This window comes from Homo sapiens, chromosome 8, assembly GCF_000001405.40.
Source record: "Homo sapiens chromosome 8, GRCh38.p14 Primary Assembly".
Lineage (NCBI taxonomy): Eukaryota > Metazoa > Chordata > Mammalia > Primates > Hominidae > Homo > Homo sapiens.
Window position 1 is genome coordinate 70,655,463 of NC_000008.11, and position 21,570 is coordinate 70,677,032.

At 39.7% G+C, this 21,570-nt stretch overlaps 2 protein-coding genes and 1 long non-coding RNA gene across 11 annotated transcripts in view; 2 read left to right on the forward strand and 1 right to left on the reverse strand.

The window, feature by feature from the left end:
• LACTB2-AS1 (LACTB2 antisense RNA 1) overlaps positions 1-7,817 on the forward strand; it is a 54,703-nt gene extending 46,886 nt beyond the window's left edge. Inside the window, exon 4 of the long non-coding RNA NR_038881.1 lies at positions 4,683-7,817. This is a non-coding gene — a long non-coding RNA (LACTB2 antisense RNA 1). The remainder of the gene's footprint in view (positions 1-4,682) is intronic.
• Positions 1-13,723, reverse strand: part of LACTB2 (lactamase beta 2) — a 31,920-nt gene extending 18,197 nt beyond the window's left edge. Inside the window, exons 1-3 of the mRNA NM_016027.3 lie at positions 13,537-13,723; positions 6,272-6,435; positions 2,294-2,420 (exon numbers count right to left, since the gene is read on the reverse strand). Coding sequence (NP_057111.1) covers positions 2,294-2,420; positions 6,272-6,435; positions 13,537-13,658 — 413 coding nt within the window. The 5' untranslated portion in view covers positions 13,659-13,723. The remainder of the gene's footprint in view (positions 1-2,293; positions 2,421-6,271; positions 6,436-13,536) is intronic.
• Positions 13,724-13,876: 153 nt separating this feature from the next.
• Positions 13,877-21,570, forward strand: part of XKR9 (XK related 9) — a 396,467-nt gene continuing 388,773 nt past the window's right edge. For 6 of the 9 annotated variants that reach the window (XM_011517527.4, NM_001287259.2, NM_001287258.2 and 3 more), the window contains exons 1-2: positions 13,877-14,076; positions 19,356-19,437. The gene's annotated coding sequence lies outside the window, so the exon portion shown is untranslated. Of the gene's footprint in view, positions 14,533-19,355; positions 19,438-21,570 lie in introns of all 9 variants that reach the window. The other 3 variants (XM_011517525.3, XM_011517524.4, NM_001287260.2) reach the window with 3 other exon arrangements.

The window sequence follows — 21,570 nt, forward strand, 5'->3', positions numbered from 1 at the left end:
CCACCTGCCTTGGCCTCCCAAAGTGCTGGGATTACAGGTGTGAGCCACCATGCCTGGCCCCGTAATTCATTCCTTTTTATGGCTGAGTAGTATTCCATCATATATATATACCACAGTTTCTTTATCCACTCGTTGATGGATGGGCATTTGAGTTGGTTCCATGATTTTGCAATTGCAAACTGTGCTGCTATGAACATGTGTATGCAAATATCTTTTTTGTATAATGACTTCTTTTCCTCTGGGTAGACACCCAGTAGCTGGATTGCTGGATCAAATGGTAGTTCTACTTTTAGTTCTTTAAGGAATCTCCACACTGTTTTCCATAGTGGTTGTACTAATTTACATTCCCACCAGCAGTGTAGAAAGTGTCCCCTGTTCACCGCATCCACACCAACATTTACTGTTTTTTGATTTTTTGATTATGGCCATTCTTGCAGGAGTAAGGTGGTATTGCATTGCGGTTTTGATTTGTATTTCCCTGATCATTAGTGATGTTGAGTATTTTTTCATGTTTGTTGGCCATTTGCATATCTTCTTTTGAGAACTGTGTCCTTAGCCTACTTTTTGATGGGCTTGTTTTTTTCTTACAGATTTGTGTTCATTGTAGATTCTGGATATTAGTCCTTTGTCAGATGTATAGATTATGAAGATTTTCTCCCACTCTGTGGGTTTTCTGTTTACTCTGCTGTTTGTTCCTTTTGCCATGCAAAAGCTCTTTAGTTTAATTAAGTCCCAACTGTTTATCTTTGTTTTTAATACATTTGCTTTCGGGTTCTTGGTCATGAAATCTTGCCTAAGCCAAAGTCTAGACGGGTTTTGCCAATGTTATCTTCTGTAATTTTTATAGTTTCAGGTCTTAGGTTTAAGTCCTTAATCCATCTTGAGTTGATTTTTGTATAAGGTGAGAGATGAGGATCCAGTTTCATTCTCTGTATGTGGCTAGCCAATTATCCCGCCACCATTTATTGAAAAGGATGTCCTTTCCCCACTTTATGGTTTTGTTTGCTTTGTCAAAGATCAGTTAGCTGTAAGTATTTAGGTTTATTTCTGGGTTCTCTGTTCTGTTCCATTGGTGTATGTGACTATTTTATATTGGTACCATGCTGTTTTGGTGACTATGGCCTTACAGTATAGTTTAAAATCAGGTAGTGTGATGCCTCCAGATTTGTTCTTTTTGCTTAGTCTTGCTTTGGCTATGTGGGCTCTTTTTGGTTCCATATGAATTTTAGAATTGTTTTTTCTAATTCTGTGAAGAATGATGGTGGTATTTTGATGGGGATTGTGTTGAATTTGTAGATTGCTTTTGCCAGTATGGTCATTTTCACAATACTGATCCTACCCAGAGATGAACTTGGGATGTGTTTCCATTTGTTTGTGTCAGCTGACAAATATTTTTGATGTAAAAACTAACCTGATTAGTGTGGTGGGCAAGGGGAGGGGGATGGTAAAGGTGAAGAGCAGTGCAAGGTAATCCTGAAGCCTCTGTCTTAGAAGAATGAGTAAAGTCTTACATACTGAGAAAAGTGGATGTTCTGAGATCAGAAAACAGGTGCAGATTGTGGGGGAGAGAGGAGTTCAGTTTTACAATAACTGAGTTTGAAATACCATTTTGAAACCCTCAGATAGGTCATGAGGTATGATCGGTCAGGCCTAAAACTTATTTAATTTAGGTATGGGTCATCTTTGGGAAGTGAGAATATGGGAAAGCCCTGAATTGAATTGATAGGTAGATCCCTAAGCCTCCTTGGGAGACAACACTTATTTTTTAAAGTGTAAATTTTATTTTTTAAAACAATGGTAATCATATGATTCAAATAAACAATTTAATAAAGAGTGAAGTCTTTCTTTTCTCATTTCTCAAGCAACTCATTTTCTCCTCCCAGAGTAAGCAATGTTTATTGGATTTCTTTTGTATCCTTCCTGATGTACTCTTTACACATACCAGCACATATGCACAGATCTTCTATTTTTTTTTTTTTTTTTTTTTGAGACAGGGTTTCACTCGGTTGCACAGGCTGGAATGCAGTGGTACAATCTTGACTCACTGCAGCCTCTGCTTCCCAGGTTCAAGCAATCATCTCATCTCAGCCTCCTGAATAGCAGGATTATAGGCATGTGCCACCATGCTCAGCTAATTAAATTTTTTTTTGGTATTGCCCAGGCTGGTCTTGAACTCCTGGGCTCAAACGATCTTCCCATCTCAGCCTCCCAAAATGCTGGGATCCTTCCATCCTTTTCTATAACACACATACACAGACTCTTCACCTTCCCTGGCTAAGGGACATTTACTTACCTTAGAGTGGCTCCCTCAGTCTTAATCACATCTCCATCTTTCAGATAAACATATTGTTGCTCTCCATTTCCTATAATTTCTTCTCTCTGAGGATTCCGTGGGAGTTTTTTAATGCAATAGGTAGTGTCTAGTCATAAAACATATAAAATATATTAATTCACACTTTATAATTAAGCCTTTTAAGAGATCAACTTTCATAGAGCTAACACTTGTGAATGACTGCATAAAATATTAACATTAAGAGACAACAGAAAATGGGATGAATTACAGCAGGTTATCTCTGGGATGTAAATATTTCATATCTTTCAACCAAACAGCTCTTCATTCTTTCATGCCCCTCTAGGTCTACATGAAAGCCTCTATTTTTTGAGTCAGTCCTAGTTTATACAAAAAATTTAAAAGTAGCTAGCTTCGGCATCCTGACAAGTGTTGAAGAGGCACTAATACAGAACCTGGAAACTCTTCTCTATCCAGGTGCCTAACATGTAGCAAAGGTGTCATGACAGTAATTAATAACAAAAGGATAAACATTAATTAATAACGAAAGCATGAGGTCCTTGCTACAAGTACTGAAATGAAGCCCCAAACCAGTGGCTAAGATATTAAACCTTTAAAATAAGCTAAATCTATACCACCCTTCACTGACACAAAGAAAATAAATTAATTAACCAATTAACAATTGAGTGCCAATTAACTAACCAGTATACTAGGTATACTGAATACAACCACTGTGATATCAAAGTTCTTAAAAGCTGTCCTGATTGGGAAACTAAAACTTACAAACATGAAACAAAGAACTATACTTGGTACCATTTAATGAATATTAAATGGACAATTCGGCTAATAAAGGCAGCAGGAGTTCAGAGAGAGTTAGGAAAGGATTTATAAATATGATAGAACTTGAGGTGTGACTTACAGAATGAGCAGGATGGGTAAAGGTACAGAGAAGGACTTGCAGGTAAGGGGAACAGCATTAGAAAAGGCATTAAGTCCAGGCGTGGTGGCTCACACCTGTAATCCCAGCACTTTGGGAGGCCAAGGTGGGAGGATCACGAGGTCAGGAGTTCGAGACCAGTCTGGCCAACATAGTGAAACCCCATCTCTACTAAACATACAAAAAAATTAGCCAGGTGTGGTGGTGTGCACCTAACGTCCCAGATACTCGGGAGGCTGAGGCAGGAGAATCGAATGAGCCCAGGAGGCGGAGGTTGCAGTGAGCCAAGATCACGCCATTGCATTCCAGGCCGAGCGACAGTGCGAGACTCTGTCTCAAAAAAATAAAGCATTAAAATGAGAATGAGCATGACATATGTGTGACAACATAATGCTACCAACTTTCTACTGCAAAATACTGGCTAGGAAGAGTGGAGATAAAGTTGGATAGGTAAGATAAGCTCAGATCAGAAAGGGTCTCAAATTGCCTTTTACAAAATAGGAGAATTTAAACTTTACCACGTGTAATCACTGCACACTCTTTAGTAAGATAATGAAATAGTGTTAACTGATGATCAATATGGCGGCTGTGGGTAGGGAGACCAAAAGGAGATCAGAGAGCCCAGGAGGGGAATGACTACAATTTCCCAGCTAGAAGGTAATGAATAGTAGGGTTAAGACGGTAGCACTGGAAATATGAAGGGAGAAAGAGATATTTCAAAGAAAAATGGACAAGGCACAGAAATTTGCTAGTTTGAGGATAAAGGAGACAGAAACACTGAAATAAAAAGAAACAACAACAAATACCACCTCCCCTTCCAACCCCAAACTCTATTATTTTGTATCTAAGAGGCCGAAGGAAAACAATGATATGCTTTTCTGGGAATTGACATTATATAACAAGATTGAGATATTGAGGTTTTTTTGTTTGTTTTGTTTATAAGCTGTATAATTTTATCTTTCAGTAAAGAAATGGAGGCATTACATTTCTGCTTATGAGACCTTTAGTAGACAATTAAAAAATCACAATTATATCAAAATTACAAAATAAATGTCATACTATAACTTTGTATCTGTCTTCAAAATTATGTGCAAATATAAATGAAAACACATATCCTATTTGAGTGGTTGTTGGAGGCTGGGGATGGGGGAAATCACTGCAAAGCAGCATGAGGGGACCTCTTTTTGGAATGGAGGAAGTGTTCCATATCTTGACTGGAATGGTCACATAGGTATTGATGTTTGTTAAAACTCACTAAACTGTTCACTTAAAATGGGCACATTTTATGTATGTAAATTAAAGCTCAATAAAATTGATTTATGAAGGAAAAAAGTGGGCCATAAACATTTTAATTTTTCAAACTGAAAAATCTGAAGAGTTGGCTGAGGTGACAAAGCTAATTAAGAAATCACAGAGTAGTTTCTTTTTTTTTTTCTTTTTTTTTCCCGCAAACAGGGTTTCACTTTGTAGCTCAGGCTGGTCTTGAACTGCTGGGCTCAAACTATCGTCCTGCCTCAGTCTCCTGAGTGGATGGGATTATAAGCACACACCACCGTCCCTGGCATAAAATAGTTTTTTAATTCACAAGATTTAATAGGTAGATTAAAAGAAGAGGTAAGACAAAATTAAAAGAGGTAAGACAAGAGAAGGAAAAGTCAGACTGACAGATTATAAGTTCCTATGGTACACAGTCCCCTTAGATTGGAAGAAAGGAGCTAAGAGGGTAAGGAAGCTTGGTTGCCAGTTTTTTATAACTGGCAGCCTGGTGATATTGGGTGTGGTAGCTGAGATGTCCCAATTGTAGTCACAAGGCCTAAAAAAGCAGATCTTTACAAATGTTTAAAAATACTAGCTCAATGTAAATAAGCATGAATGTTCTTGACCTCCTTACTGTGCCCTGAATGTGCCAACCACACTCTCATTCCACCATCTTTGCTCCTGCAATGCTGTTTGCCTGCAGGCCTTCCTGCCAGGAGCTTGCTCCTTCTCTCTGTCCACTCTGGATATAACAGCCCTTGCCCTTCTCCACTTTACGCTCTCTTCCCTTTCTCTTCTTGTACCTTTATTTTCCTGCATAGCACCCATGATTATCTGATCTATTTTTTTCCCTTTTTTTTTCATTCTGGTGCCCAGGCTGGAGTGCAGTGGCACAATATTGGCTTACTGCAGCCTCAGCTTCCCTGGCTCAAGCCATCTGCCCACCTTAGCCTCCCGAGTAGCTGGGACTGCAGGTGCACGCCACCATACCCGGGAAATTTTTGTACTTTTTTTGTAGAGACAGGGTCTTGCTATGTTGCCCAAGCTGGTCTTGAACTCCTGAGCTCAAGCAATCCACACACCTTGACCTCCCAAAGTGCTGGGATTACAGGCATGAGCCACTGCACCCAGCCTGATCTATTATTTATTTACCAGTACCTTCCCTACTGGAATGAAAGCTCCATGAGAACAGAGTCTGTTTTGTTCACTGCTATACCCCTTGTGCCAAGAACACTGTCTGACATATAACAGTAACTGGAATATTTAATGAATGAATGAATGAATCTAGGTATATGATGGTGGGATGAGGAAATAAAGAGATAGAAAATGTCAGTACTGTATAGGTTTCAGGGACAATGAATTATCAATACAATGATATATTGCCTGAATTTCAGCATATCTTAGTAACTGCCTTAAAGTTACAGAAGGACTGAGATAATCTGTTAGAATGTGAACAATAAGAGCACCTACCTCACAGTATCCACATAAATTGTTTAGTGCAGTGCCTGGCACAGAGTAAATGCTCAACAGTTGTTAGTTATGATTAAGTCTGAATAGTAACTCACACACTAAAGTAAAATTGAGGATTTGAAACAGAAATCAGGATTTCCGTTCCTCCTTTGTTAAAACTAGGCACAGTATTCAACAGTCTAATCAATTTCTAAAAGTACCATTTAAAACTGAGGTATTTAGTAAATGGTTTATAGACTACTTAGCTCTGTAACTGAAATAAATTATTCTCCAAACACGGCTTTCCTCAATGAGCTTAATGAATGTTTTCTGTTTACCATTATTGATGCTTTTACAAATATCTCCTATGCCTCCAGAATGATCTCGGTGCCAGTGAGTCACTACAATTTCCTGGATTGCTGTGTTAAATTCAGTTAGAGCCTGCTTTAAACAGCTGATGTATTCTGGAATTGCTGGTTCTCCAGTGTCAATGAGGATTCTCCTGAAAATTAAATGGAAGATAATCACACAATTGGAACACTGCGTTGACATTAGCATTATTTTGCACACAGATAATTTACATTAAAGAAACTGCAAAAATTATTTTACTTTTAACATGCACAAAAACCAGCTACATCACTTCAGCTTAACTACAGTAATCTCACCCTAAGAAAGTTTTCTGAGAAAAATTAGAGCTAAATATAAGTCTGAACAAGGAATAATAGCAGTCATCTTGAACATTTACATAGCAATTAAAATAAACATGGCACCATTCCAAGGACTTTACATATTTTACCAATTACATTCCTCGTAACAACTGTTTAAAGTAGATATTTTATCATTATATTTAGAAGTAACTTGCCCAGGTTACTCTACAGATAAATGGCAGAAACAGCTTTCAAACCCAGGTATTCTGATGCCAGAATATGTGCTTTTATCTATCTGCCTTTGAGATCTCATATCTCAGTATATTTCAAAAGTTTTATAGATATGAAAGATTTTGATTCAATGGCACCCCTAAAGAAACTAGTCTTTGGCACTAGATATACAACTTATCACTGAAGTTTTATATTAGCACCCTGACACATGAAAATGAAGGCTTTAGTGAAGCATGGGAAAAACATCTGAGCTATTTTCTTTCTTTACTTAGACAACCCCATTAGCTGTATTTTTTGCTTGTGGTTCTGAATCTTCCTTATATTTTGTTTGCCCTTCCTCACGATTTTATGAGGTGGCCTTTCTCTGTGAAGTTTTGCTGAACTAAAGACATGGGGGTGACATGTTCCTCAAGATCCAATTCTTTTTTTTTTGAGACAGGGTCTTGCTCTGTCACCCAGGCTGGAGTGCAGTGTTGCGATCTCAGCTCATTGCAGCCTTGACCTCCTGGGCACAAGCGATTCTCCCACATCTACTTCCTGAGTAGCTGGGACTACAGGTATGTGCCACCATGCCCGGCTCATTTTTGTATTTTTTGTAGAGATGGTGTTTCGTCATATTGCCCAGGCTGGTCTCTTAACTCCTGGGGTCAAGCAATCCTCCCACCTCAGCCTCCCAAAGTGCTGGGATTACAGGCGTTGAGCCACCATGCCCAGCTCAAGATCCAATTCACAAACTTCTTCACTCATACTGTTTCACAGTAACACCTCAATAATTCAGGCTGGCTGACAGATTAGCCTTGATGAAAAGTCTGAGTTATTCATTAATTGATCAATAACTGTTTATGGATTACCTAATATGTGCTACAAATTTGTTTCTTGCAGTAAGCAGGACACAACAACCCTGCTTACATTCAACTGTTGGTGAGAAGGGGAACTGCATATGACTGGAAATAAACAATAAAAGTAACATACCATAGAAAGCATTTTGCAAAGCATTAAAATTAAACAGTGAGTAACTGGATGGTTATTTTTTATTGGTTTGTTTCCCTAACCCTACTCCCTGAGACCCAGAGCCAACAAAAACAAACTGGCCTCTCATAAGGGAGGAGGGTAATGGCCTCATAGCCCATTGGCTTCTATCTGCACCCTATGTTCTGTAGCACAGTAGATGTCCTTCAGAAACACAGTGTTGAACTGTCCTATCCGGAGACAGGAGACCAGATGGTTACACTGGACCAAGAGGGCATTTATTATAGGGTTCTGTTGGTAGTGGAAATGTAAGGAAGAGATGGCTTTAAGAACATTTAGAAGGTACAATCAACCAACCACCAGGATATTTGTTAAACAACGAGATGTGGAAGGAGGGAAACAGTTGGCGACTCTGAGGTTTCTAGGTGGGAGGATTGGTGTGCCATTAATCAAGAAGGTAAACCCTGGAGGGAGCAAATTTGAGATGAGTTTGACTCGGGTCAGAGTGAGTTCTGATGCTATTCCTAGCCATCTTATCTTGCTTTTTTTCCATAGCAATTATTACCATGTAATATATTATGTATTTACATATTTATTTTTTTATTGCCTATTTCCACAACCAACACCACCGTACAAATTTGAGTCCCTTCAGGGCAGAAAGCTTGTCTGTTTGGTTCAAGGAATTTATGGATTTATTTCTATATCCATAATACATTGTACTGCACTTAGCATTGTGCATATTTAGTTATGCTAAATTAAAATACACAAGACTATAATACTATGATACCTCCAATAATACTCTCTAGCCCACCCATCCTAGATTTTGGCTGCCTCCATGCATTTGCAGTTATTTACCACAAATTCTCACTGCCCCTAACGTAGAGTCACTGGGACTATTTTTGTGGGTCTTCTGGTCCTCACAAAAAGAATACTTCCATGCTTCAGGTAAGGCTCAAATTTTTTCAATCCATCAAGGCCCCACCACTTTTAAAATTATTTCTTAATCCTTGCCTTCCCGTCCTCCCAAGAAACTCTGTTTTGAAATATCTCCTAATCTAAAAATGAATATAAATTTCTGTAATTTAATGACCAGATCACATCACACTGATCAAAAGTCATGACAAAATTAACAGGGTTGATACATGAATTTGATAAAATCTAGTAGCAAAGAAAACAGATCTTTTAGAATGCCTGTGCTGGTTGTTTGCAGGTGAAAGTGTGAGTGACCATACGACTGTGGTAGTGGAGAACATGTTTCTGGGGCTCCAGTTTTAGGTCTCTTAATGGTCCTGTCTTGGTTTAACAAAATTGGAATTGATAAAAGAAGGGCTCTCAAAAGAAAGAAAACAGAAAAAAGTTCTGGAATTAATACAATCTATTCAGAACAAAGGAGGGGTGTCTAGATACTATAAAACCTAAAACATGAGTTTGCACCAAGCTTTGAGGGAAAAAAAAAGTCACACTGATAACATATGACATTGACATAGCAATTTAAACCATTTGGGGCTTTCATATTTACTATTTCTTTTGATCCTCATATCAACTCTAGGGAGGTATTATTACTTTATTAATTATTTATTTTATAGAAAACTTATCTTCAGAAAGGCTAAGTGATTTGCTCCAGGTCATATAACCAGCAAGAGGCAGTGCTAGGAAGCACTAGATGTTCAGATACAAGGTCCAGTGACTTCTCCATTCAAAACACTGCCTCTCTAGCAGAAGGGGATTGCTTAGGTTAAGTGCTTAGAATCATTATGTGGCAAAAATAAAACTTCAGCTATACATTTGAAAAAACTGTTATCAGTTTTGAAATTGAAAAAAATGTTATCAGTTTCTCCCTTAGCAAACAGTTACTCTATCAGTGATGTCTGTAAATAGTTATAATAGATGATTGGATAGTATCATCTCTACATGGGCTAGTTGACTTTGTTCTTCTTGGCCACAGATAATAATATCCCTATCTCAGGAGGTCATTTTGCAAATGCAAATTATGCTAATGAAGGGCTCAAGGGAAGAGTATGGATGAATCTGTATAGGTCTATGAACGATTTATTCACTAGAGCAAAGTGCCTGGCACATAGTAGGCACACAATAACTGTTTGCTACATGAATGGAGAAAAAAATTTTTAATTGATGGAAAATTAGTAGAATCAAATTCCTTGTTATAGGTATTTCATGTCAATATTAAGATAGCTATTAACTGGTCTCTATTTGCTGTCACTCTTATAAAATCATTAGATATTTTCTGAACACCTACTATGAGCACAGTGTTATCTAGATGTTATGAGGAAAGCAGAAGTGATAAACATAATGGCTAACATGGTATGTTTTCCACGTGCTAGAACTTGTTAAGTGCTTTTCATATACGTTTTTTCACTTAAATTTCACTGAGCCCTTATAAAATCCAATGAGGTAGGTACTACACAACCTTCATTGGGTTGTATCAGGAATCTGAAGCTTAGAACTGTCTTGTCCAAAGTCATATGGCTAGTAAATGGCACCAGGATTCTAATCGAGGTAACCAGAGTCCAGAGTTTTAATTCTATTCCACTTGACTACCTTTTTCTATTATCAGCCACACTGTCTGCCCACAAAGTATGTACAATTTTGATAGGAAAGGTTAAAATTGCAGTTTTTAAAGGTTCTTGAGCAGAGGAGGAAAGTAAAAACACTGGACAATTTGGCTGTCATTTGTTGATTCAAATGCTTATTGAGTACCTATGTACTAAGCATCACAGTTAGGTCTAGCAGTGTTTTAGTGAAATTCATTTGGCTTCCATGGGCTGATCAGATGAGGAAGGAAGACCAGCTAAAACTGTAGTTATCCAGCAGTTCTGGAGTCATAATAGTGAAAATTAAGAGAAAATGTACAGAATGCTCATTCATTCAGCAACTGTTTACTGTTCTACCTGAACTGTGTACAAGGCTCTGTGCTAGGTGCTGGGGATATAGCCATGAATATGCTTTCACTGAACTGATGTTATAGTGGGGTATGAAGGTGTGGAAAGACACTAAGCTTCTTGCACAAAAAAATCATTTCATTATCATTGAGATAAGGACCATGAAAAGTATGGAGTGTCCCTAATACAGTCTGATGGGTCAGGGAAGACTTCCATGAGGAAATGGTATTTAAACTGTGCTCTAAAGGATGAATGAGATTAGCTGGGTAAAGAAGGGAGGAATGAGTGGAAGAAAGAGGAAAGCATGCGTGAAGGCCCTGAGACAGGGAATCACAAACCTCATCTGAGACACTAGAAGGCCAGCATGGCTGGAGTGGGAGAGGTTTGAGAGGAGCCTGATAAGACTGATGGAGGCCAGAATACACAAGGCCTTCCAGTTTTAATTCCTAAAATACCACTCAGGCTACAAAGGGAAGATTGGATTGAAGAGAGACAGAGGTAGTCGTACAGAAGCCAATTAGGAGGCTATTACAGTAGCCTAAGCAAGAGTTGTGCTGGCTTGGACTGAGTGACAGCAGGGGACATGAACAGATCTTCATAATGGCTTGGATATGCAGTAGGAAGCAAATAAATGTCAGGAAGGGTATTTAGGCATTTCCTTTGATGGCTTTGTTTATCAAGATATGAACAACTGAAGGAGGACCTGGCAGTTTTCTGGAAAGGTTATGAGTTCAGTATGGAAAACACTGAGTTCCAGGCAGCAGTGAGTCATGCAAATAGATTTAAAAGTTGGCTACTTGAGTCTGAAGATCAAGTTTGGAATTTGAACTTGAGCTATATATTTGGTAGTTAATAATAAACAGATAATAAAGGCAAAGCCAAATAAGTAGATGAGATCACCTAGGTAGAGAATACAGTAGAAGAACATGAGAGATGAGGATTATATACTGAATAACTAAAATAATTAAAGATTTGATAAAGAAGATGACTCTATCAAGGTGAAAGAGAAAGAGCAGCTCAAGAGGTAATAGGAAACCTGAAGAATGTGGTGTTGGCAAATTAAGGAGGGAGTCGTCAATGGTGTCAAAGCACTGAAGTTCAAGGAAGATGAGAACAGAAAAATACCATTGGGGTTAGTGATACAAAAGCCGCTTGTGATCTTAGAACTGTTTTGTGAAGCGGAACAGGTGGATACCAATCTCAGAACATCTGACAAGGGGCCAATTAATATTAACTTCTAGCCACCTTTTACTTTACACCTTTTACTTTATACAGTAGCATTATCTACACTTATTTCTAGCTCAACTATACGGACTCTCTAGTTCAACTATATGGAGAAATAATTTACATAGTGCAAGTAATTCCACTGGCCATTCCACTCCATTAATTTATGTGAGCAACAGTGTTAAGTAATTTAAGACGAGAGACTATAAATCTGCTTTTCCCTCAGTTAGTCTTTAAGTCTCTCTTAGCACTAGCACTTTGCTATGTTGAGTGTGATTATAGTGTTTAAAGATACAGTATGTATTTTTCATACAATATAGCCCCTCAACACAAGCCAATTTCTTCACCTGGTTTTCAAACAGAATCAGCCATCTGTTTCAACGCTGGAAAAAAGGCAGGTTGTGCTGAACTTACTGAGACAATACACTGATCTCCAACATGGTGTTCTTCTAAGAGACTTTCCAGGGTAATTCTGATAATATGCATCTTTTGTCTGAGGTATTGACTAGTTCAAGATGACACACTGTAGAGAGACCGCCTATGGATTTACTTGGTTGAGGGACTTCCAGCCAAGACAGACTGTACCCTAGAGATCTGGCATTTTTCCTGCTTAATTCTCTATCCTCCTAGATTCTGGTGGCAGCCTAAACCTTTGGTAACTACCTGACCCTGCCTTATTTACTCTGAACTTAATCTTTTACCTGCCCACTTTGCAGGTCTGCTGCTTCTAAAATTCTTATTTACTGGAAAAACGCCAAACAGTAGACACTTCCAAGGAAAACTCAATTAACTGTACTTACTAAATCGTTTTTAGTAATCAATTATATTTTAAAAATAATTTATGTCTTGACTGCACAATTAAATTCTATGCTCAAGAGAAACTACATTATCTGGGTTCATCCAGTAAAGACTACAAAAGTTGCTAAATGCCTAAGACTTACTATGCAGTAAACCAAATCTCCCATTCCTGCATAATTCCACTAAAACAGAATGCAGCTAAACAAGAGCAAAAGTATCTTCTTAGAAATACAGGTGTGTTACTGTGTCTGCAAATTAAACTCAAACAAGGTCACACACAATTGTAACAAAAAACTTCCCCAAATTACTTATGTCAGCTCCTCTTATGAGCCCACAGGCTGCAGAGAACCAATTTGGAAGCCAGGAGAATCCTGCCCTCTGCTGCTGAGTTGAGGAAATCGCCTCAACATAATTAATCGCTTTTGAGAAGGGAAGTTACACTCTGGGCAAAACACCAGTGAAAGTCAAGTGAGCAAAGTAAACGCTTTCTTGGACTCTTGACATCCGAATTTTCTCAACAGTTTAAACACGCACACCCTGGCATTCAAACATCAAGAACAGTAAATCGGGTTTCAAAACAGAAGTTTTTTTTTTTTTTTTTTTTTTTTTTTCCATTTCTCCCTAAATTAGAGAGCTATCACCTGGGGTGGTCGTATTTTAGCTAGCTTCGAGATCCGAGTGTCTGCGTGCAGTCCCGACGGGGCTGCTAGGCGCGGGGCTGCCCAGCTAGGGACAGGACGCGGCGCTCTCCACTGCCCGCGCAGCCGCGATCAGTCAAAGCCCGGGCTCCGGGGCCGGCTGCGAACGTTGGGGAGGTTGGAGAGGGACGTTTACCTGGGGCCGGTCCCCACTAGGTAGGTGTTGGTGCCTTGGAGGGTCATGGGACCCGGGTTACAGCCCAACACACGCACGACTCGATTGGACAGCCGCTCGACGCGCTGCAGTACAGCAGCCATTCCCGCCTCAGCCGCCCGCCGGCGTGTCGCCTATCTGGATACTCCAGCGCGGAAGAAGCCAACAGGCCGGGGATAGCGAGTAGCGTCCACGTGATGCCTCGCAACCCGGGAGGGAGGGGATTGGCCAGCGGCTGGTCCAGGTGTCATGTGACACCGCGGACGAGCCGGGGCGGGGATCCGGCAGCTAGGCCGGGGGGTGGGGGGGGCGGTGCGGAACTAGAGGTCACGTGACGCCGCGCGGGCTGCGCGGGCAGTGGTGGGAAGGCTGGCGCGAGGCGTGAGGTGGCGTGAGGCGAAGCTGGAATCTGCCTCTGTCACGGGGGCTGGTGCCTCACGGGTTTGTGTCCTAGACAGGCGAGTGGATCCAAGTGGGCGAGAGACATTTTAATCTGGAAGAGTCTTGTGATTTGGGAGACAGGTTTGGTAACCGTTCGTTATTCAGTAATAAATGTCAGGAAGGATTGCCAGATTTTTAGGCAGTGGCTCTGTGTGTGTGTGTGTGTGTGTGTGTGTGTGTGTAGTAGTAGTAGTAGTAGCCTGTTCATTTTTTTTTTTTTTTTTTTTGAGACGAAGTCTCGGTCTGTCGCCCAGGCTGGAGTGCAGTGGCGCGATCTCGGCTCACTGCAAGCCCCGCCTCCCGGGTTCACGCCATCCTCCTGCCTCGGCCTCCCGAGTAGCTGGGACTATAGGCGTCCGCCACCACGCCCGGCTAATTTTTTGTATTTTTAGTAGAGACCGGGTTTCATTGTGTTAGCCAGGAAGGTCTTGATCTCCTGACCTCGTGATCCGCCCGCCTCGGCCTCCCAAAGTGCTGGGATTACAGGCGTGAGCTACCACGCCGGGCCAGCCTGTTCATCTTTTATAATAAATAGTGGTAAGACATATTTACTTAGTACTTCCTACTATGCCTAAGTGCTTTCAACAAACATCCGACTTAACGCCCTTAATCCTCAGAACATTATTAAGAGGTGGACACTATTTTTGTTACAAATGAAAAACGGGGATTGGGCAGCTGCCCAGATGACAGAGTCTGCGTGTGCGGCCTTGCTCCTACCTGCCTCGCACTAACACTTGTCCCCCTCAGTGAGATTCAAGGAGCATGCCTCTGCCTGCCAGTGTTACCTGCCTGCCCAGAGAGCTAGGCTGGTCTTGTGGAGCCGTTTTGTGCCCAAGATGGAAGGGACTCATTTTCTCTGTAACAAGTCGGTTTCTTATCAGCCAAGTATTAACTATCCAGTGTTAACTACAGCTTCCCATAAAAAAAGTTGAGTTATAAATTACTTAAAAGAAAATACACAGATCCTGTAGACAGTTCCATCGAGTTATGACAATTGTATGTAATCACTGCCCCAAAGAGATGTAGAACATATCCACTGTAGCAGCCCACTCTTTTTTTTTTTAAAAAAAGGTGAGAAATTGACACATACAGTGCTTGGTGGCTTTTTTTTTTCCAGATATTTCTGATGAAGAAAACGATCTGCTCTTACCTATTTTATGAATCAGCAGCATAGTGTATCAGAGTGGCTAATGACATCTGCTTTGTGTGTGAGAAATGTCTTTGCCTTGTTTCACACAGTTGTACTTTTAATGGAAAAATATTCAAAAAATCATCGCTGAAATAATCATATAAGTTATCCCCTGTTGCAATGGGAAGTTAAACAGTATACCCTTCAAAAAATACTTAAAGTAACCAAATCTCCTACATCAGGCATTTCAATCTGTCAATATGTATTTATGATAGCCATCAATTAATGGCTATTCAGGCAGGAGGCTTTGCACATCTTCCCTTTTTAAGAACTCTGCTGGAAAGTCAGTGAACCCTGGAGAAGAGGATGGAACAGTAATTTCTGGACCAGATTCCTGAGAATCTGGGCACTCCCCTTCTTTTATTCTTTGGCTTAATTAATTTCCTTACTTAACTTACTTATTTACTTACAGGGTCTGGCTTTCACCCGGGCTGCAGTGCAGTGGCACTATCATAGCTCACTGTAACCTTGAACTCTTGAACTCAAGCGATTCAGGTGATCCTCCTGCTTTGGTCTCCCAAAGTGCTAGGATTGCAGGCTTGAGCCACCATGCCTGGCTGAGATAAACTTTTTAGCTCCCACGTATGAATGAGAATATGTGATATTTGTCTTTCTATGCATGGATTATTTCACTTATCATAATCTCTAGTTCCATCCATGTTGCTGAAAATGACATGATCTCATTTTTTTTTTTTTTTTATTATACTCTAAGTTTTAGGGTACATGTGCACATTGTGCAGGTTAGTTACATATGTATACATGTGCCATGCTGGTGCGCTGCACCCACTAATGTGTCATCTAGCATTAGGTATATCTCCCAATGCTATCCCTCCCCCCTTCCCCGACCCCACCACAGTCCCCAGAGTGTGATATTCCCCTTCCTGTGTCCATGTGATCTCATTGTTCAATTCCCACCTATGAGTGAGAATATGCGGTGTTTGGTTTTTTGTTCTTGCGATAGTTTACTGAGAATGATGGTTTCCAATTTCATCCATGTCCCTACAAAGGATATGAACTCATCATTTTTTATGGCTGCATAGTATTCCATGGTGTATATGTGCCACATTTTCTTAATCCAATCTATCATTGTTGGACATTTGGGTTGGTTCCAAGTCTTTGCTATTGTGAATAGTGCCGCAATAAACATACGTGTGATTGTTTATCTAGAAAACCCCATCGTCTCAGCCCAAAATCTCCTTAAGCTGATAAGCAACTTCAGCAAAGTCTCAGGATACAAAATCAATGTACAAAAATCACAAGCATTCTTATACACCAACAACAGACAAACAGAGAGCCAAATCATGGGTGAACTCCCATTCACAATTGCTTCAAAGAGAATAAAATACCTAGGAATCCAACTTACAAGGGATGTGAAGGACCTCTTCAAGGAGAACTACAAACCACTGCTCAAGGAAATAAAAGAGGAGACAAACAAATGGAAGAACATTCCATGCTCATGGGTAGGAAGAATCAATATCGTGAAAATGGCCATACTGCCCAAGGTAATTTACAGATTCAATGCCATCCCCATCAAGCTACCAATGACTTTCTTCACAGAATTGGAAAAAACTACTTTAAAGTTCATATGGAACCAAAAAAGAGCCCGCATTGCCAAGTCAATCCTAAGCCAAAAGAACAAAGCTGGAGGCATCACACTACCTGACTTCAAACTATACTACAAGGCTACAGTAACCAAAACAGCATGGTACTGGTACCAAAACAGAGATATAGATCAATGGAACAGAACAGAGCCCTCAGAAATATGATCTCATTTTTTTATGGCCAAATAGTATTTTATTGTGTGTATATATCACATTTTCTTTATCCATTTGTTTGTTGATGGACTTTTAGGTTGATTTCATATCTTTCCTATTGTGAATAATGTTGTGATAAACATGCAGGTGCAGTTGTCCCTTTGATATACAAATAGTAGTGGGATTGCTAAATCATATGGTAGTTCTGTGTGTGTGTGTGTGTGTATTTTATACATCTCTGTACTGTTTTCCATAGCGGTTGTACTAATTTACATTCCCACCAACTGTGTATGAGAGTTCCTTTTTCTCTACATCCTCTGCAGCATCTGTTATTGTCTTTTTAATAACAGCTATTCTAACTGGGGTAAGATGATATCTCATTATGGTTTTGATTTGCATTTGCCTGATGATTAGTGATGTTGAGCATTTTTTCATATGTTTGTTGGCCATTTGTATGTCTTCTTTTGAGAATCGTCTATTCATGTTCTGTACCCTCTTTTTGGTGGGATTATTTGTGTTTTCTCTTGTTGAGTTTGAGTTCCTTGTATGTTCTGGATATTAGTCCCTTGTCAGATGAATAGTTTGCAAATATTTTCTTCTGTTCAGCAGATGTCTCTGCACCCTGTTGATTGTTTCCTTTGCTGTGCAGAAACTTTTTCATTTAATATAGTCAAATTTGTCTGTTTTTATTTTAGTCGTATGTGCTTTTGAGGTCTTAGCTACAAAATCTTTGCCTAAACCAATGTCCTTATGTATTTTACCAATATTTTCTTCTAGTAGTTTTATAGTTTAAGGTCTTACGTTTAATCCTTCTTGAGTTGGCTTTTGCATATGATGAGAGACAAGGTCCAGCTTCATTAGCTTTTTTTAAAAATTAAACTTTCACTTGCACTTTCCTTCTGGATTCCATTTAATCAATTGCCAAGCTCCTCATTTGGCAGATGAAGGAATAGGCCAAATGATTTAAAAGTAAGGCAACTTGCATAGGGCCATACAAGGAGATACTAGAAAAAGAGTACAAATAGAAGGTAGATAGTGACTATGTTTTAGATGAGATAAAATTGAGGTAATTGTGGTATATCCAGGTAAAGAAACCTATGGACAGTTAGATATATTTTTTGGTCGGGTGTGGTGGCTCACGCCTGTAATCCCAGCACTTTGGGAGACTAGCCTGACCAACATGGTGAAACCCTGTCTCTACTAAAAATACAAAAATTAGGTGGGCATGGTGGCGGGTGCCTGTAATCCCAGCTACTTGGGAGGCCGAGGCAGGAGAATCACTTGAACCCAGGAGGCGGAGGTTGCAGTGAGCTGAGATCGCGGCACTGCACTCCAGCCTGAGTGACAGAGTGAGACTCCATGTCAAAAAAAAAAAAGATACAAAATTAAGTCTTTGTGAATATGTTTAGAAATGTGACTTGAAGTTTAAGTTCCTCTCCAAGAAATCAGATCAAATATTTTTCACGTTCTGTTCAGTTACACTTACAATAGTTTATTATCTACTTACAACATGCAAGGTAATGTTGTAGACATATTGAGGGCATGTTAAAAATGAATAAGATAATCTTTGCTTTCTAGAGGGTCATAACCATGAAGGAGATACTTTTAAAGTATATATGGGTTCAGGTATGGTGGCATGAGCCTGTAATCCTAGCACTGTTGGGAGGCTGAGTCTGGAGGAGTGCTTGAGCCCAGGAGTTCGAGGTTATAGTGAGCTATGATTGTGCCACTGCACTCCAGCCTGAGTGATGGAGCAAGACCTTGTCTCTTAAAAAAAAGCATATGTGGGTAAATACTAGAAGAGAAGTACAGCTGAAGTGATGAGATTGCAAGGAGAAAGGGGAGAAACATACTGGGATGATCTGGGAAAGCCTAAAGATGGTGGGTTTTGAGCTGATTCTTAAAGGATTGACAGAATTTCATCAGATAGATGGCAGTTATTCTAGACAGCAGTAAATAACCTTGAGCAAAGGCTTGGAAATGGAAGAAAAGTAGTGCTTATTTTGGGAATACAGACCAACAATCATATGCTCTTTGGGGCACAAGATTTGAGAAGGTATAAGGTTGAAAAGTAGGTAGGGCTGAGTTTATGATACTTTGTTAGAGTACTTCAAATTTAAGAACCTCCTTTTCAAACATGACATGTTATCCATTTGGATATGTTGTGAGACAAATTGTATTTTCTTGACTTATTTGACAAATACAGTGAAAGCTTGGAGCCTAGTCAGCCTATGAAAGGACCTATGCTATTTCTTCCTCTCAATGAGATAGTTATAAAAGGGTGTACTGTATTCACAATGACACAGACTCTTATCACTAGATTAGAAAATGCCACATATGACTAACAGGTGATTTCAGTTTCATTTTAGTATTCGATCTTAAAGGTTTACACATCCTTTAATTATACTTGTTTTTAGTGAAGAAGAAGTAAAATATTCACAAGATGAAGATTTTTCCAGAAGGGACTTTGAGTCAAAGATGGCTTTTTATATTTGACAAGTAAGTCTATGTTTTATATGTGTTATATTTGGTTGACAAGGGAAAGTTTCCTAGTTTTAATTTCTTTAAATATCTGCTTTATCTCAGATAGTTGTACAGTGGGCAAAAGTTACGTATTTCGGCTCGCAGCCAGGTAGCCACATAGCTAGGTTGATATTTGGAATTGGATTGAAACCGTTTGTGTTAAGCCATTCTTGCATTGCTGTAAAGAAATACTTGAGACTAGGTAATTTATAAGAAACGAGGGCCAGGTGCAGTTGCCCATTCTTGTAATCCCAGCACTTTGGGAGGCTGAGGTGGGTGGGTCACTTGAGGTCAGGATTCGAAATCAGCCTGCCCAATATGGCGAAACCCCGTCTCTACTAAAAATACAAAAATTAGCTGGGTTTGGTGGTGTGCACCTGTAGTCCCAGCTACTTGGAGAGGCTGAGGCAGAAGAATCACTCGAACCCACTGTCTTTGATATTAGCACTTGGCTCCCTTTTAGTTTTGCAAATATCTTTAGCAAGTGGTTGCTGTACAGCCTGCTTAAAGTCCTCTTCTGAAGAAGCTTTTTCTTTCTCTCTCACCTGGCCAGGCTGCACATTTTTCAAACTTTTATGCTCTGCTTCCTGTTTAAATATAAATTCAAATTTTCAGTCATTTTCTTGCTTCCACATCTGGGCATAGGTTGTTAGAAGCAGCTGGTCCATGTCTTGAATGCTTTGCTACTTAGAAATTTCTTCTGCCAGGTACCCTAAATCATCACTCTGAAGTTCAAACTTCCATAGATCTCTAGGGCACAAATACAATCCAGCCAAGCTTTTTGCTGAGGCATAACATGGGTGATCTTTGCTCCACTTCTGAATAAGTTACTCATTTCCATCTGAGACATCAGCAGCCTGGACTTCATTGTCCATATCATTATCGGCATTTGGGTCACAACCTTTAAGAAGCTCCAAACTTTCCCTCATCTTCCCTTCTTCTCTGAGTCTTACAAACTCTTCTAGCCTCTGCCTGTTACTCAGTTCTAACACTGTTTTCATGTTTTCAGGTATCTTTATAGCAAAACTTTACTACTGGTGCCAATTTTCTGTGTTAGGCCATTCTTGCATTGCTATAAAGAAATACCTGAGACTGGGTAATTTATAAGAAAATAAGTTTAATAGGCTCATGGTTCTTCAGGCTGTACAGGAAGCAAAGTGCCAGAATCTGCTTTTGGGGAGGCCTCAGGAAGCTTACAATCATGGCAGAAGGTGAAGAGGAAGCACGTGTCTCACGTGGAGAGAGCAGGAGCAAAAAAGAGAGTAGTGGGGGAGATGCAATGCTTTACAACAACCAGATCTCACTCACTATCGTGAGGACAGCACCAAACCATGAGAGATACACCCCTATGACCCAAAACCTCCAACCAGGCCCCACCTCCAACATGGGGGATTACAATTCAACATGAGATTTGGTAGGGACATATATTCAGATTATATCATTGTCCTATTAAGTCAGTAAGTGTAAGAAGTCCCCTATGAAGCCAAACTTTGTAGGTGGCATTATTTTACCTAAGGTGGTACTGGAATAGTGATCAACCATAGAGATAGAGATGAACTATTCTTAATACAAGTTATTCAACAATTGAAAGACCTGCAGCTCTCTTTATCAGATCCGCCGTATGTATTAGCTTGCTATGTAGGTTTCCTTCTACTTGGTGTTATGTTCTGCCTGACTAAATTAGGAATATGGATATTACCATATTAGATTAATCTATTGCATCTAATGTTCTGCCAGTAACAGTTTCTGTTTCTTGGAAATTATTCTTTCCATCTTGTAAAAGTTGACTCAAAACTGCTAGTGTTGGCCAGGTATGGTACCTGTGCTGATAGTCCCAGCTACTCAGGAGGCTAAGGTGGGAGGATCACTTGAGCACAGGAATTCAAGACCAGCCTGGGTAATATAGAGAGACCCTGTCTCTTAAACAAACAAACAAACAAACAACCCAAACCTGCTACTACTATTTTTATTACTCTTGCCAGGTAAAGGAAGCTCTCTTTATGGGTAGAGAGATTAAGAAATGCACATATGGAATACTGAAGTATTATAGTCTGTAATTTTAAGGAAATTATCTACATTTAAAATCATTTAAAGCAAAATTTTAGCTTA